This window comes from Homo sapiens, chromosome 3, assembly GCF_000001405.40.
Source record: "Homo sapiens chromosome 3, GRCh38.p14 Primary Assembly".
In the NCBI taxonomy this organism is placed as follows: domain Eukaryota; kingdom Metazoa; phylum Chordata; class Mammalia; order Primates; family Hominidae; genus Homo; species Homo sapiens.
In genome coordinates this window covers 138,703,084-138,718,001 of record NC_000003.12, presented here as the reverse complement: position 1 = coordinate 138,718,001, position 14,918 = coordinate 138,703,084, and the positions used below count along the sequence as shown (strand labels likewise).

Below are 14,918 nucleotides of genomic sequence, written 5' to 3'. Positions count from 1 at the left end.
ATGCGAATGTTCATTGCAGCACTATTCACAATTGCAAAGATGTGGAATTAACCTAAATGCCCATCAGTGACAGATTGGATAAAGAAAATGTGGTACATGATCACCATGGAGTACTGTGCAGCCATAAAAAAGAATGAGATCATGTCTTTAGGGAACATGGGTGGAGCTGGAGGCTATTATCCTTAGCAAACTTATGCAGAAATAGAAAACCAAATGCCGCATGTTCTCACTTATAAGGAAGCTAAATGATAAGAACTTATGAACACAAAGAAGGAAGCAACAGACACTGGAGCCTACTTGAGGGTGAAGCGGGGAGGAGGGAGAAGAGCAGAAAAGGTAACTGTTGGGTACTAGGCTTAATGCCTAGATGATGAAATAATCTATACAACAAACCCCTGTGACAACAGCTTACCTATGTAACGAACCTTCACATGTACCCCCAAACCTAAAATGAAAGTTTAAAAAAAAACCACAAAAAATTTCTATTTTCATTCATGGTTTCATTTAATGAGTTTTGGATTGACTGTGGTCATTTTGCTGTTATGTCTGTATATAGGGTCTTACATTTGGACATTCAGCCATTTTATAATACTTTCTGGGCTATTTAAAAATATTTAAAGGTAACATTATATAAAATAAAATCAAAGATCATTGATTTTAATATTTGTCCCCCTTTAATCAGAGGAGACAACAATCACCAATATTCCAGCTATCCACTATAAACTACTTCTTTTTTTTTTTTTTTTTTGAGACAGCGTCTCACTCTGTTGCCCAGACTGGAGTGCAGTGGCACAATCTTGGCTCACTGCAACCTCTGCCTCCTGGGTTCAAGCAATTCTCCTGTCTCAGCCTCCTGAGTAGCTGGGACTGCAGGCGTGTGCCACCGTGCCCAGCTAATTTTTGTATTTTTAGTAGAGACCGAGTTTTACCATGTTGGCCAGGATGGTCTTGATCTCTTGACCTCATGATCCGCCTGCCTCGGCCTCCCAAAGTGCTGGGATTACAGGCATGAGCCACCGTGCCCAGCCTGTAAACTACTTTTATTTGTATTCTTCACACAGTTTACAAGGTGAACATGCTTTTTTTTTTTTTTTTTTTTTTTTTTTTTGAGACACAATCTTTCTCTGTCACCCAGGCTGGAGTGTAGTGGTTCAGTCTTGGCTCACTGCAACCCGCCTCCTGGGTTCAAGTGATTCTTCTGCCTCAGCCTCCTGAGTAGCTGGGATTACAGGTGCTCTCCACCACACCCAGCTAATTTTTGTATTTTTAGTAGAGATGGTGTTCCACCATGTTGGCCAGGCTGGTCTTGAACTCTTGACCTCAAGTGATCCACCCACCTCAGCCTCCCAAAATGCTGGGATTACAGGCGTGAGACACTGCACCTGGCTGTGCTTTTGATAATATTTTGCTATAGTATAGTATTTTGATGGTATGTTGCGTTATACTGTTTTTCATTTAAGGTTACATCATAAATCAACTTTTTCTTTGTATACAGCATAGACTTCATGATGAATTGAAAGTAGGAGACAGAGGTGACTGAGTAGCTGCTGGTACCATTGTCACTGTGGTAGAAAGAACATGTGTGATTATGGTTAGTCAGCTTCTAAGGTAGATTTTTGTTTGAGTTTGATCTGAGAGAGACTTGCACAGGTTTATAGCCTGCTGGAGGAAGATTTTTCCAATGCAGAGGAGCAAAGGAGTAACATCTCAGTACTTGGGGAGCTGGAGCAATATGGGACCAGGGGACTTGAAGGATTACGCCTTTTTCTGGAGTTGAAGGGAATTAGGTCATGTGTTCAGATATAAATTCCTAGTGACCTGAGGATTTACTGCAACTACTTTTAGTATCCTTTGTAACACCTGTTACTTGAATATTTATCATGTTATAATAATCCATCTGTGTTTAGAATAACCAATTTTTTTCTTTTAGCTTAATTTTTTTTCAAAAGAAAAGTTTCAAATATACACAAAAGTAGAATAGTATAATGAACCTCCATGAACCCATCATCCAGATTCAAAAGTTATTCTGATAGCTTTTTAATAATATTTCTTTAGCTTTTAATCATTTAAAAATATTTAATTCTCTAATCCATCTGTGTTCATTTAGCTGGAATTAGATAAAAGAATATTATTTATTAAGTCAGTCATCTTTTTTTTACTATATTATGATATGTCTGGCCTACTAACCTACAGTTTTATTTATGCCAGCATAACATAGTTTTAACTATTTTAGTAGGTTTTAAACTCATAATTATATTATAAATATTTATAATTAAAATTGCTGATTACATCAGTATTTAAAATTTTATATTACTGTTTGAATATATTTTAATATCTATAGATGAAGTATGTGTATATTCTTGGGTATTTATCTTCCTTTTCAAATATTGGCGTGGTAACTCTTAACTAGCTAGAAAAGCTTTTGCTGATAAGCTTTTGAAAAATGAAAGATAAGCCTAAACAATTCCACATATGTATTCATTTGTTTAGTAAATATTTGTTGAGTAATATTGTGTGCTAGTATCACATCTGAATAAACTGGTATAAAAACTTTGACCTTAAAAGTGTATCACTGGGTCAATCTCTGTGTTTTACTACTGTTTTTAGCTCTACTTTCTCCCTGAGTTTTAAATTGGTGATAATTAGGTCATATATTTTAAAAAACTGCAAATGAGTAAAATTGTCTGGGACATCTTACGCATGCCCTGCATCACTCTGGCCCCAGGCCTTTAGGGAAAAACAAAGGACCGTGATATATAGGATAATCAAGATATGGATGGAATATCTTTTGTTAGCTCTTGACTTAGTATGACAAATTCATAAATTATTTAGAAGTAGAAAGAAACTTTGGAGCCATCTCATCCATTCATTCTTTCCTACACATAGAGAAGGGTAAGACAAGACCTCAAGTAAATGAAGTCAGTGAGTAAGCATATGATAGTATGCTTATACTTACTGTCACGGTTTCTTTAGACCTGTTTAAACCATTGAGCACCCTGGCATTTGGACCAATATGTGATTTTATAGCTGGTTTACTTAGCAAGTGAAAAACAGATTAGACTAACTACGGTTTACTGAACGATATACTGGTTAATTACACTCTAGTGGTTCTGCAGACAAGTAGGCTTTCTAAAACTTGGCATGTTTCTTCTTCCAGTATGTTCCTTCCTTCTCCAAAATAAAGATGTTTTTAGTGTAGAAACAAACAAACAAACAAAAAGAGATGTTTTTCGTGGTACAGTATTCATGACTTTGTTTTTGTTTTTGTCTGCTTCGTTACAGGTTCATGTCAGGGCTGGTCTTTTTCATGGTACTGAGCTCCTGTGTAAAACCATCGTAAGCTCAGAGGTATCAGGGAAAAATGATCATATTTGGAATGAACCACTGGAATTTGATATTAATATTTGTGACTTACCAAGAATGGCTCGATTATGTTTTGCTGTTTATGCAGTTTTGGATAAAGTAAAAACGAAGAAATCAACGAAAACTATTAATCCCTCTAAATATCAGACCATCAGGAAAGCTGGAAAAGTGGTAATGATATACCAACTTCTGAGGATTGTTTTATATAACGGAATAATTTTAAGACTGTTTGAAATAATTGAGTAATATAAGTTAAATTATATTAGGTAACTTTGATCCTTAAAAACTGATTTTAAGAAGATAAGAAATTTCCATGTTTATATCTTTAGATTTATGTTCATGCATTTATTTATGTTTATGTTCATGCATTTTTTTTGTAATCTTGCTCCTTCTACCATGGATTTTCTTTTGGCAGGTTTATTTTATAAGTGTTTTATTATATATGTAATACTTTTAAGAAGATATGAAGAATGATGATGTTTGAAAAATTTACAGTTCTGCAGTCTTTCAACTGAAATTTCATGTGACAGATATGTTTAAGAATTCAGAATTTTGTGTATTTTAGAAAGATCATTGGTCGTAACTGACTCAACATATCTTGTGGGGTCTGGGGCATAAATGTGTCATCAAACATGTTAATATTTGGAGTGAAATATATCAGTATTCACACTAAATGTGACTATCATTAGCTTTTTGTTATCTCTGGCCACTTTTTGCTGTCACATGAGCTATGAACAAACCTTCAGTTTTTAGAGCTTCTCGGATTTTGAAATTATGAATATAAGAGGATGGACCTGTTGTCATACTTTCATCTTCCATGTTATGTTTTCAGTCAAATGTTTCACTTTCTTCTTGCTTTTTGAAAGCTTTTTGGTGGGGATAGGGACATTAATTTTATATGTTTTTAAAATCTAGTTACTATATTTATCTATATATTAATTTGTGTTATTTTATTCTTTTTTTCTTTTGAGACAGAGTCTCACACTGTCACCTGGGATGGAGTGCAATGGCACGATCTCGGCTCACTGCAACTTCCGCCTCCCGGGATCAAGCGATTCTCCTGCCTCAGCCTCCTGAGTAAATGGGGTTACAGGCACCCGTTACCACACTCAGCTAATTTTTTGTATTTTTAGTAGAAACAGGATTTCACCATGTTGGCCAGGCTGGTCTTGAACCCCTGACCTTGTGATTCACCCGCCTCGGCCTCCCAAAGTGCTGGGATTACAGGCGTGGCCACCGTGCCTGGCCGTGTTCTTTTATTCTTAACATGGGAATATAAGCATCTCCTCTGGTTATCATCATATAGTCTTCTAAAAATAATTTTTAGGCTAGGCGCAGTGGCCCACGCCTGTAATCCCAACACTTTGGGAGGCTGAGGTGGGAGAATTGCTTGAGGACAGGAGTTGGAGACCAATCTTGGCAACATGGTGAGATCCTGTCTCCAAAAAAAAAAAAATACCCTAAAAGTAAAATAACTTTTAATGACTAAAAAGTCACAGAAGCATTAGTTCCTTAGTATTTTTTTCTTCCTTAATATAGAATTATCCTCAAAGTGTTTGATTATAAGATTTTTGATACACTATGGTGAAATTAATCTATTTAAATGTTTGTATAAAAGTCCTATCAGCTCAATGCCTCCTTTTTAGAGATATATTTATATGCCTAGAGACATTATCTCCTTCCATATTGAGATTTATGTAGGTTGAAAGCTCTTAAAACAAGTATTCTGATATTATACGTGTTTTCTTGGATTATTAAAGATTTCTCATTTTGGCTGGGCGTGATGGCTCACACCTGTAATTCCAACACTTTAAGAGGCTTAGGTAGGTGGATCACCTGAGGTCAGGAGTTTGAGACCAGCCTGTCCTACACGGCAAAACCCCGTCTCCACTAAAAGGACAAAAATTAGCTGGGTGTGGTGGCGGGTGCCTGTAATTCCAGCTACTCAGGAGGCTGAGGCAGGAGAGTCTCTTGAACCTGGGAGGTGGAGGTTGCAGTGAGCCGAGATCACACCACCACTCCAGCCTGGGTGACAGAGTGGGACTCCATCTCAAAAAAAAAAAAAAAAATCATTTTCACAAGGCTTTTTAGTCCATATTCTATTTTATTCATATACTATTTATTATGAAATGTTAATTGAGTTTTAAGGTTCTTCTTAAACGTAATAAAGATAGTGAGCATTTTTCTATGTATATCTTGTTCTCATTTTAGAAGATTATTTTGGAAATCATCCAGAACTTTCTAGAACTAACATTATTGAAACAAAGGACATGTGCATGTTTACACCTTAAAGTTATTCTTAGCATATTTATGCAATGGTATCTTTTTCAACAGCATTATCCTGTAGCGTGGGTAAATACGATGGTTTTTGACTTTAAAGGACAATTGAGAACTGGAGACATAATATTACACAGCTGGTCTTCATTTCCTGGTAAGATTTACATTCTTATCCTTAGTGTTAAAGCATAACTAACTTTTGGCATGTGGACTAGGTAATATTTATGAATCACCGTTCTTTCAATTTAATAAATAAAATTATCATTTTGTATTATTTATTCTAAAATAGATTTACACAAATTATTTTAATATTATCATAAAATTACTTGTTTCTGAGTAGATTTCTTTACAAATTTTGTTTTGGTTTAAAATCGGCCTATATTTTATTTTATTATTTATTATTTTTTTTTATTTTGTCGAGACAAGGTCTCGCTATACTGCCAAGGCTGGTCTCAAAACTCCTGGCCTCAAGTGATCCTCCCAAAGTGCTAGGATTACAGGCATGAGCCACTGTTACTGACCTGTATTTTAAACGGTTATTTTAACAAGTTAGTATTTTAAACATACTTCCAACAAATAATGTACCATTATTTTGCTAGTAACAAGTTAACTCTAGTATTAACAAATTATTCATTTAGCTCATTAGAGATTGTCTAGTCTCGCTATGGGACATAACTTTTAAGTTTTGTGATGGGTAGCTTTGTCTTTAAATCTTATGCATCTCCATACCATATTTAGGAATGAAATAGACTAAACTTCTTTTTTTTTTTTTTTTTTTTTTTGCGACGGAGTTTCGCTCTTGTTGCCCAGGCTGGAGTGCCATGGTGTGATCTTGGCTCACTGCAACCTCTGCCTCCCAGGTTCAAGCGATTCTCCTGCCTCAGCCTCCCTGCTAGCTGGGATTACAGGCATGTGCCACCACGTCCAGCTAATTTTGTATTTTTAGTAGAGACAGGGTTTCTCCATGTTGGTCAGGCTGGTCTGGAACTCCCGACCTCAGGTGATCCGCCCACCTCGGCCATCCCAAAGTGCTGGGATTACAGGCGTGAGCCACCGCGCCTGGCCGTATTTCTGAATATATTTCTTATTTTAATGAATGTGTGTTGCTTTCAGCATTTTTTGTAGGTTTTTTTTTTCTTTTTTTTTTTGAGAAATTCTCCTAAGGAACAGTGTCTTCTTTATAATAACCTTTGTTGCTCCTAATTGTGCTAACTTTCTTCATGAGTAGAAGGAACATCTCTAATTAGGGAGAAATAGTAAAAACACTTTTTTTTTTTTGAGATGGAGTCTCGCTCTGTCACCTCGGCTGGAGTGCAGTGGTGTGATATGCGCTCACTTCAAGCTCCACCTCCTGGGTTCATGCCATTCTCCTGCCTCAGCCTCCCCAGTAGCTGGGACTACAGGTGTCCACCACCACACCTGGCTAATTTTTTGTATTTTTAATAGAGACGGGGTTTCACAGTGTTAGCCAGGATCGTCTCGATCTCCTGACCTCGTGATCCACCCACCTCAGCCTCCCAGAGTGCTGGGATTACAGGCGTGAGCCACCACTCCCAGCCTAAAACACTTTTTCTTTAGTTGGCTTTAGCCTGAAATTTGAGGTAAATGGAGCACCTTCCACACGCTTTTATTTCTCAAATACTACTCAAAATACCCTCATCAAGTGAGGTAGATGGTTTTATTTCCATTTTTACAGATAAGTGAAGCTCAGAGAAAATAAGTTAGTCTTACATAGCTGTTTCAAACCTAGGATTTGAATGAAAGACTATTCAAATCTTCCCATTGGTCTATACTGCTTTCCCAAATGTTGGAATTTTTAGTGTAAATCTTGCATTATAATAGTGGTTTTCTTTTTCTTTTTTCCTGTCTTTATAGTTTGTTGATATATCTAGTGAAGTTGTAAACTAATTTGAATTTGAATTTTTTAATTCATGGCTTTGTAAGTGACATTTCAAAATGTTCATGTACTAGCAGTTGTCACCTGAAAAATTACTTTTGGATAATCATTTACTGACATATCTATAAACTCTTTGCAATCTAATAGTGTGTGTGTGTGTGTCCTTCTATTCCTATCCTCTCCAGCATGTACCTCTAACAGTTTTCACTAATTATGTTATTCCCCAAATGTAGGAGAACTGTGTATATTTGACGTATTTCTTTTTGTTTGTTTGTTTGTTTGACTCAGGGCCTCACCCTGTCACCCAGGCTGGAGTGTAGTGACTTGAACACAGCTCACTGTAGCCTTGCCCTCCTGGGCTCAGCCTCCCTCCTCAGCCCCCCAAGTAGCTGGTACTATAGGCATACGCCACCACACCCGGCTTTTTTTTTTTTTTTTTTTGTATTTTTTGTAGAGACAGGGTTTCGCCATGTTGCCCAAGCTGGTCTCGAACTCCTGGGCTCAAGTGATTTTCACCTCCTCAGCCTCCCAAAGTGCTAGGATTATAGGCATGAGCCACAGCTCCCAGCCTATTTGACATATTTCTTAGGAGGAACTAAACTTTCACAATACAATAAAATATAGCAGCAAAATACTGTACTTTCTTGAGAATCTTAATTTAGACTCACACATGTTCTCCAGAATCACCAACCAACTTGACTAGTATTTTTAGTAAAAATTACAATTTTTGGTGGTGTTAACTTGGCATAATACTATGAACCTGACTTCCTCTCTGAGAAAATGTATGATAAAAAATAATAAATGAACACATTAGTTCTGCATGTGTCAGCTCTAGAATTGTTACATTTAACCCAGTAGGGGCAAACAAGAAGCAAAGAAACTACAAATAATCTACCATCCAGAGTCCCTAGGTCATCATTACAAGGTATACAATCACGTTTATTATTTTTTTTCCTAACTTTCCATAATTTTTTTATGTGGACTAGGAAATACAAATGTCGATTCCTGTTTTTCCCCCTATACTTACACAAAATGACACATTCTGTGTAATGTTCTGCTTCTTGCTTTATTCACCATATCTACATATCTACATATCACCATATCTTCTCTACGTATCTATGTAGAGAACTGTTTTTCCCCCCATGCCTGGACTGTTAGATTTTTTTTTTTAAGCAGAATTGTGTTCTGATAGTTCAAACAGTGCTGCTATAATGAATAACCATGCTTATGTACAGTGTATATCTGAGATAAATTCCTTAGAGGTGGGTTTATTGATTCAAAGAATAGATAAATTTATAATTCTTATCATTACAAATTGTTCCTCAATAGCGTGTATCAATTTTTGCTCTCCATGTGTAGTATATATGAATGCCTTTTTTTTTTGCCACATATGGTGGTTCACATGTATAATCCCAATGCTTTGGGAGACTGAGGCAGGAGGATCACTTGAGTCCAGGAGATTGAGACCAGCCTGGACAACATAGTGAGACTCTGTCTCCCTATACACACAGAAAAAGAGTGCCTTTTTTTCTGATCACTTTTGAACAAGGCTAAAGGATTACCTCTATGTATGGGGCTAATAAGTACTAAAATACTAAATTTGATTTCAGTTAGGTTGCATTTGATAGGACAAAAGTAAAATAGTACTAGAGAGCAGAAGTATGAAACTGTAAATTGCTGAGAAATCAGCTCTAGAGTTGTATAAATTATTAGAATTGAGCCAGGTGCAGTGGTGTGTGTGTGCCTGTAGTCCCAGTTACTCAGGTGCTTGAGGCAGGAGGATCGTTTGGGGCTAGGAGTTTGTATCCAGCCTGGGCAATGTGGCAAGACCCCGTCTCTAAAAAAACAGGAAGATTAAAAAAAAAAAAAAAGAGTTGCCTCCATCCAGGTGAAAATTGAGTTTGGGCTGGGTGTGATTGCTCACACCTGTAATTCCAGCACTTTTGGAGGCTGAGTTGGGTGGATCTCTTGAGCTCAGGAGTTCAAGACCAGCCTGGGTAACATGGTGAAACCCTGTCTCTACCAAAAATTAAAAAATTAGCTGGGCATGGTGGCATGCGCCTGTGGTCCCAGCTACTCAGGAGGCTAAGGTGGGAGGATCACTTGAGCCTGGGAGGTGGAGGTTGCAGTGAGCCAAGATCATGCCACTGCACCCCAACCTGGGTGACAGAAACCCTGTCTCAAAAAAAAAAAAAAAAAAAGAAAAAGAAAAAATTGAGTCCGTGAGGTGAGAAAATATTTAAAAAGATGAACGAAGAATTAAGGAACGAAAACTTGTAAAGATTTTCCAGCTTTAGGAAATAATTCTGAGTGTGCATACTTTATGGACATTAGACCTAATTAGAGTAGAGCTGATATTTTTTTTCCTTAGGAGATACAGAAAGAACAACTGTACTACAGTCAGTATAAGAAAAGAAAAATTACTTTGGAGAGAGAGGATCTTAGATTGTACACCTAACTCTATTTTCTCATCATGAGTTTCTTATCTGTGAAATAAAAAAATTATATGATGCGAACTCCAGAGTTTTCTAACTACACTGAAATTCTAAAATCACACACACAGTTCTGTGAATTGACCATATTTAGCGTGGTGGAAAAGGAAAAGGAAGGAGTACCTTGAAGAAAGAAGCAGTTGGTGAGGTAAAAGGAGCGCCACTTAATGGAGTATTCCAGAGGCTACCAGAGAAGGTATTTTCTGTCAGCAGTTGCAGGATAATAAAGAGCATTATCGTTAGATTTGATAAGAAGAATGTCATTGATGACTTAAAATACCAATTTGGTTATTGTGACAACCATGAAAACCAGATTACATGTGATTAAGAAGTCCATATGTAGTGATGAGATTATAGTTTCTATGGGCCACCTAATTTTGATGGAGAGAGAGCAGTTCCAATTAAAGTCTTTTCAAGATTGAGAACTAAATTTGAATTAAGAGGTAAAGTAGTCATTCAGTTTTGTTAACTTTCTCATTTTTAAAACATGTATGCAAACTCACACTGAAATTTTGTTCCAAGCATTAACAGAAAATTAGAGGATTACTGATAGAATTGTCTGTCACACTTCTGTAGTTGACATACTTCTAAGGTGATTTTCATGGGAGGAGATCCATTACAGCTTTTTTAAAGCCTAGTTTTAAAGACATTTTTTAAGAACCAAAATTATTTGCATGTTTTAGATGAACTCGAAGAAATGTTGAATCCAATGGGAACTGTTCAAACAAATCCATATACTGAAAATGCAACAGCTTTGCATGTTAAATTTCCAGAGAATAAAAAACAACCTTATTATTACCCTCCCTTCGATAAGGTAAGCTAATTATTTAAAGGACCTCTATGCATGAAATGATTGAATGATCAGTTCCTCTATGTATAGTTTAAGCTCTATCTGTCTCTTTCAAAACTTCCCATACAGTGACAGCTTTGTTGAGTGGGAAGACCATGGATCAGGGAGCCTTCTTAACTCTGTTAGTTTTGGTTTTATCACTGACTAAGTAAGAAAAGGTACCTCCAGGCCGGGCGCAGTGGTTCACGCCTGTAATCCCAGCACTTTGGGAGCCCGAGGTGGGTGGATCACCTGAGGTCGGGAGTTCGAGACCAGCCTGACAAACATGGAGAAGCCCTGTCTCTACTAAAAATACAAAATTAGCTGGACATGGTGGCACATGCCTGTAATCCCAGCTACTCGGGAGGCTGAGCAGGAGAATTGCTTGAACCCGGGAGGCGGAGGTTGCAGTGAGCCAAGATCGTGCCATTGCACTCCAGCCTGGGCAACAAAAGCAAAACTCCGTCTCAAAAAAAAGAGAGAGAGAAAAGGCATCTCTGGAGTTCACTTTTCTTATTTATAAAATGAAGAAATCATAATTGTTCTATTTTTTAATATCTCACGCCCTTAAAGGGCTATAAATATATTCATATGTAACTGAATACATAAAATGTTGTTTCAAATATTAAAGGTATAGTCACTGCTGTATTAGAATTGATACTCAAAGAACAATTGATTTTTGTTGAATATGTCTGTTAGTGGCGCTTCCTAATGTAGTTATTTTATAGAATCTATAGTAAGGACTTCATTTCTAAATATATTTCTTTAATATACACACTGCATGTCTTGGGGATAAAGAGATTATCTAATGGGGGCTAAATATAGGGCTATGGTAATTTACATGCTAAGAGAGCTGAGCTGTCATATATTTTATCTTTAGGTTTGGCATGGTGTTTTTTATTTTAAAAAATGGAGTATTTCTCTGTCATCCAGGCTGGAGTGCAGTGGCACAATTATTGAGCCTCAAATTACTTGCCTCAAGCAACTGTCCTGCCTCAGCATCCCTGGTACTGGGATTACAAGTGAGAGCCACTGCACCTGGTAGTGTTGATTTTTATAAGGAAATCTTTGAACAAATTCTCAGAATTTAGGAGCCAGGCACCATGGCTCAAGCCTGTGATCCCATCAGCTTGGGAGTCTGAACCAGGAGGATAACTTGAGGCTAGGAGTTCAAGATAGCCTGGACAACATAGAGAGACCCTTGTCTGTACAAAAATTTAAAAGTTAGCTGGGTGTGGTGGCATGTGCCTATAGTCCTAGCTACTCTGGAGACTGAGGTAGGAGGACTACTTTAGCCCAGGAATTTCAGACTGCAGTGACCTATGGTCATGCCACTGTGCTCCAGCCTGGGCAACAGAGAGAGACCCTGTCTCTGGAGAAAAAAAAATGTTCAGAAAATAAGCTGAAAGTTTATTTAATTTCCTCAATCCGCTTGAGTACAAACTACCTTTGAAGATTGATATTATACTTTATAAATACTTAAGATAATCTACCTGTACATTTAAAGTATTAGCAAATTAAATTTATGTAATTCACTCTTTCTTCATTTTCATTATAATTGGATTTTATCCATCTAAGGAGTAATTTTTTATTTCAAGTTTTTTAAACATGTTTTTCTGAACAATAATTTACAACCAAATTAAATTTTGTGCTTATAATATAAATTTCAAATATGGCAAGAATCATATACGTTAGTATACACTGAGTAGAAAAAGCTACATTTTGACTCATCCAATACGTTTATGTAGTGTCTTTAGTTATTCCTTTGATAGAAATTTATCCATAAGCCATAGCTACTCGTGATATATTTAATAGTTTTAGCTGTGACTATTATCATGTTCAGTTATGATGTGTGTTCAACAGTTATAGGCTCTTTTGGCTCAAATGAAATGCTTTTTGAAGTACTTTTACAAATATAGCCTCCTATATTTGCAAATATAAGTTTTTTTTTTTGTTTGTTTTGTTTTTTGTTTTTTTTTTTTTTTTTTGCCTTTCTAATCTCTTGGAGAGTCTTTCTTGAAGAAGATCAGTTTGGGATAGAGATTTTAGTCTTTGAATATATATAAGCCAGGGACAGCAGCCTTTAGTCCCATCTGCTTGAGGCTGAGGTGGGATAATTGCCTGAGCCCAGGAGTTCAAGGCGAGCTTGGGCAACATAGACCCCATCTCAAAAACAAACAAAAAGTATGTAAATAAGTATATGCTTATTGATCTCCTTCAATTGTACAAGTTAGATATTGTCGTTACTTCTACTTTTGGTGTCTGTTAATTGAAGAAAAAACATAATGAGAAAAGTTTATTCTACAATTTAGTAACTCTTACATGTTTTTGTGTCTTCTTAACTAGAATACATTTACTTATACTTAAAAGAAAATTTTTGACATATATATGCTAGCTGGTACTTGTTTTATCTCCAGACAATTTTAGTGCTTCCTAGGAGTCATAATCCCTTATAGCAATACCATCATTTCCCTGTTGTCAAGAGTTTAAAGCACTTGAGAAGCATCATTTTGCTTTTAAAATTCATGTTTCTGTTACAAAGCATAGCAATGCCAGATCTTATGTAGTCTAAGTACAAATGTAGTCATTTACACTTAAAATTCTACAAATATGAGAGCCAAAATTCATTTTCTTTAATTTTTTTAAACAGATTATTGAAAAGGCAGCTGAGATTGCAAGCAGTGATAGTGCTAATGTGTCAGTAAGTATCAAGAGTTTTAAATGGCCCTTTCTTATGGAGTTGTGCACATTATTAGGTATCTTTGCCTCATAGTAATGAACTCACAGAAGACCGTAACTCATATGCAAGAACAGTCTGTGAGTGTGGGTAAGTATGCACATGATAGTGTTTTGTTAAATGGCAGCCCAATTTGTGGGTGATCTGGGTTCAGTGGGCAAGCCCTTTTCTGATACAAGTACAGGTTTAGCAGGTAATCTATAAGGGATTCTGTGGCACCTCATAGATTAACAATGCTGTCATAGTGAATATTATTTAGTTTAATGAGGAGACTGTATTTCTCTCAGGTAACAAAGCAGATTTAGTAATAGGCACACACATCATCATGCAAGTGACCCAAATTTCTTCCATCTTAGTGCTCTGCCATATTTAACATGTATTTTCTATTTCATGGTTTAATATTACTGCTTCAGCTTCCTACTTTACTATATTCCAGCCAGCAGGAACAGGAAAAACAATAGTAGTGGTCACACCCCATTCTTATTCAGGATATCATTAGTATGTATCATTTCTGCTTACATGTCATTGGCCAGATCTTACTGACCATGCCTAAGTACACACGCATCTGAGAGGTGCAGTCTTTAGCCACGCCATCAGTCATGCGCTTGGCTAAGAGTAAGAGATTCTAGTACTAAAGGAAGAAGTGGAGAATGGATATTGAGGGTCAAATAGTAGTCTCTGCCACATATACTATTCCCATTTGTTTCTATGCAGATACTACAAATAGGTTACTTTGTTGACTTGGGTTGCTATATTTATATCTATATCTACATCTATATATCTATATCTATATCTACATTTATATATCTATATCTATATCTACATATCTATATCTATATCTACATATATATATATAAATATGTATACCATCTGTGCTTTTTTATTTAATTTTTTGGCTCTTTCTAGTTTGACTTTGTTGAGCTGTAATCCAGTATTCTCGTCATCAGTTTACAACTTTTAAGTCTATTTAGCAAAGTCATTCTACCTGTAGCATGGCAGTGTTATAGAGACTAGGAGGCAAACTGGAGACAATGTGTATGTTTTTCCCATTCTCACAGAATCAAAGCACTATTTAATTTTGGCCAGTTGGTGAAATGTCTGGCCTAGGCTGTCTTCTCCTTTGCCATTAGAGCTCTCAGAATCTTTCCCTAGTTTCTCAGTGTGAGTCATCTGCTACTGCTTTCTTATTAGTGTTTTTGGCTTAAATTTTGTCTTTTGAATTTGAATGCTTGACCTTAGGAAAGAGAGCAGTAGTGCCAGACTCCTAGTCTTTACAGTTTACGAAAGGCTCTGGGCCAGTTTGGGACCATAATAGCCAAATTC

The 14,918-nt window shown here is 36.5% G+C and overlaps 1 protein-coding gene across 14 annotated transcripts in view; it reads left to right on the top strand.

The window, feature by feature from the left end:
* PIK3CB (phosphatidylinositol-4,5-bisphosphate 3-kinase catalytic subunit beta) overlaps window positions 1-14,918 on the top strand; it is a 182,231-nt gene that overhangs the window by 116,927 nt on the left and 50,386 nt on the right. For 9 of the 14 annotated variants that reach the window (NM_001437286.1, NM_006219.3, NM_001437293.1 and 6 more), the window contains 4 exons: window positions 3,283-3,534; window positions 5,698-5,794; window positions 10,713-10,843; window positions 13,509-13,559. In NM_001437286.1, the coding sequence (NP_001424215.1) occupies window positions 3,283-3,534; window positions 5,698-5,794; window positions 10,713-10,843; window positions 13,509-13,559 (531 nt within the window). Of the gene's footprint in view, window positions 1-3,282; window positions 3,535-5,697; window positions 5,795-10,380; window positions 10,844-13,508; window positions 13,560-14,918 lie in introns of those variants that run through there. The other 5 variants (NM_001437290.1, NM_001437289.1, NM_001437292.1 and 2 more) reach the window with 2 other exon arrangements.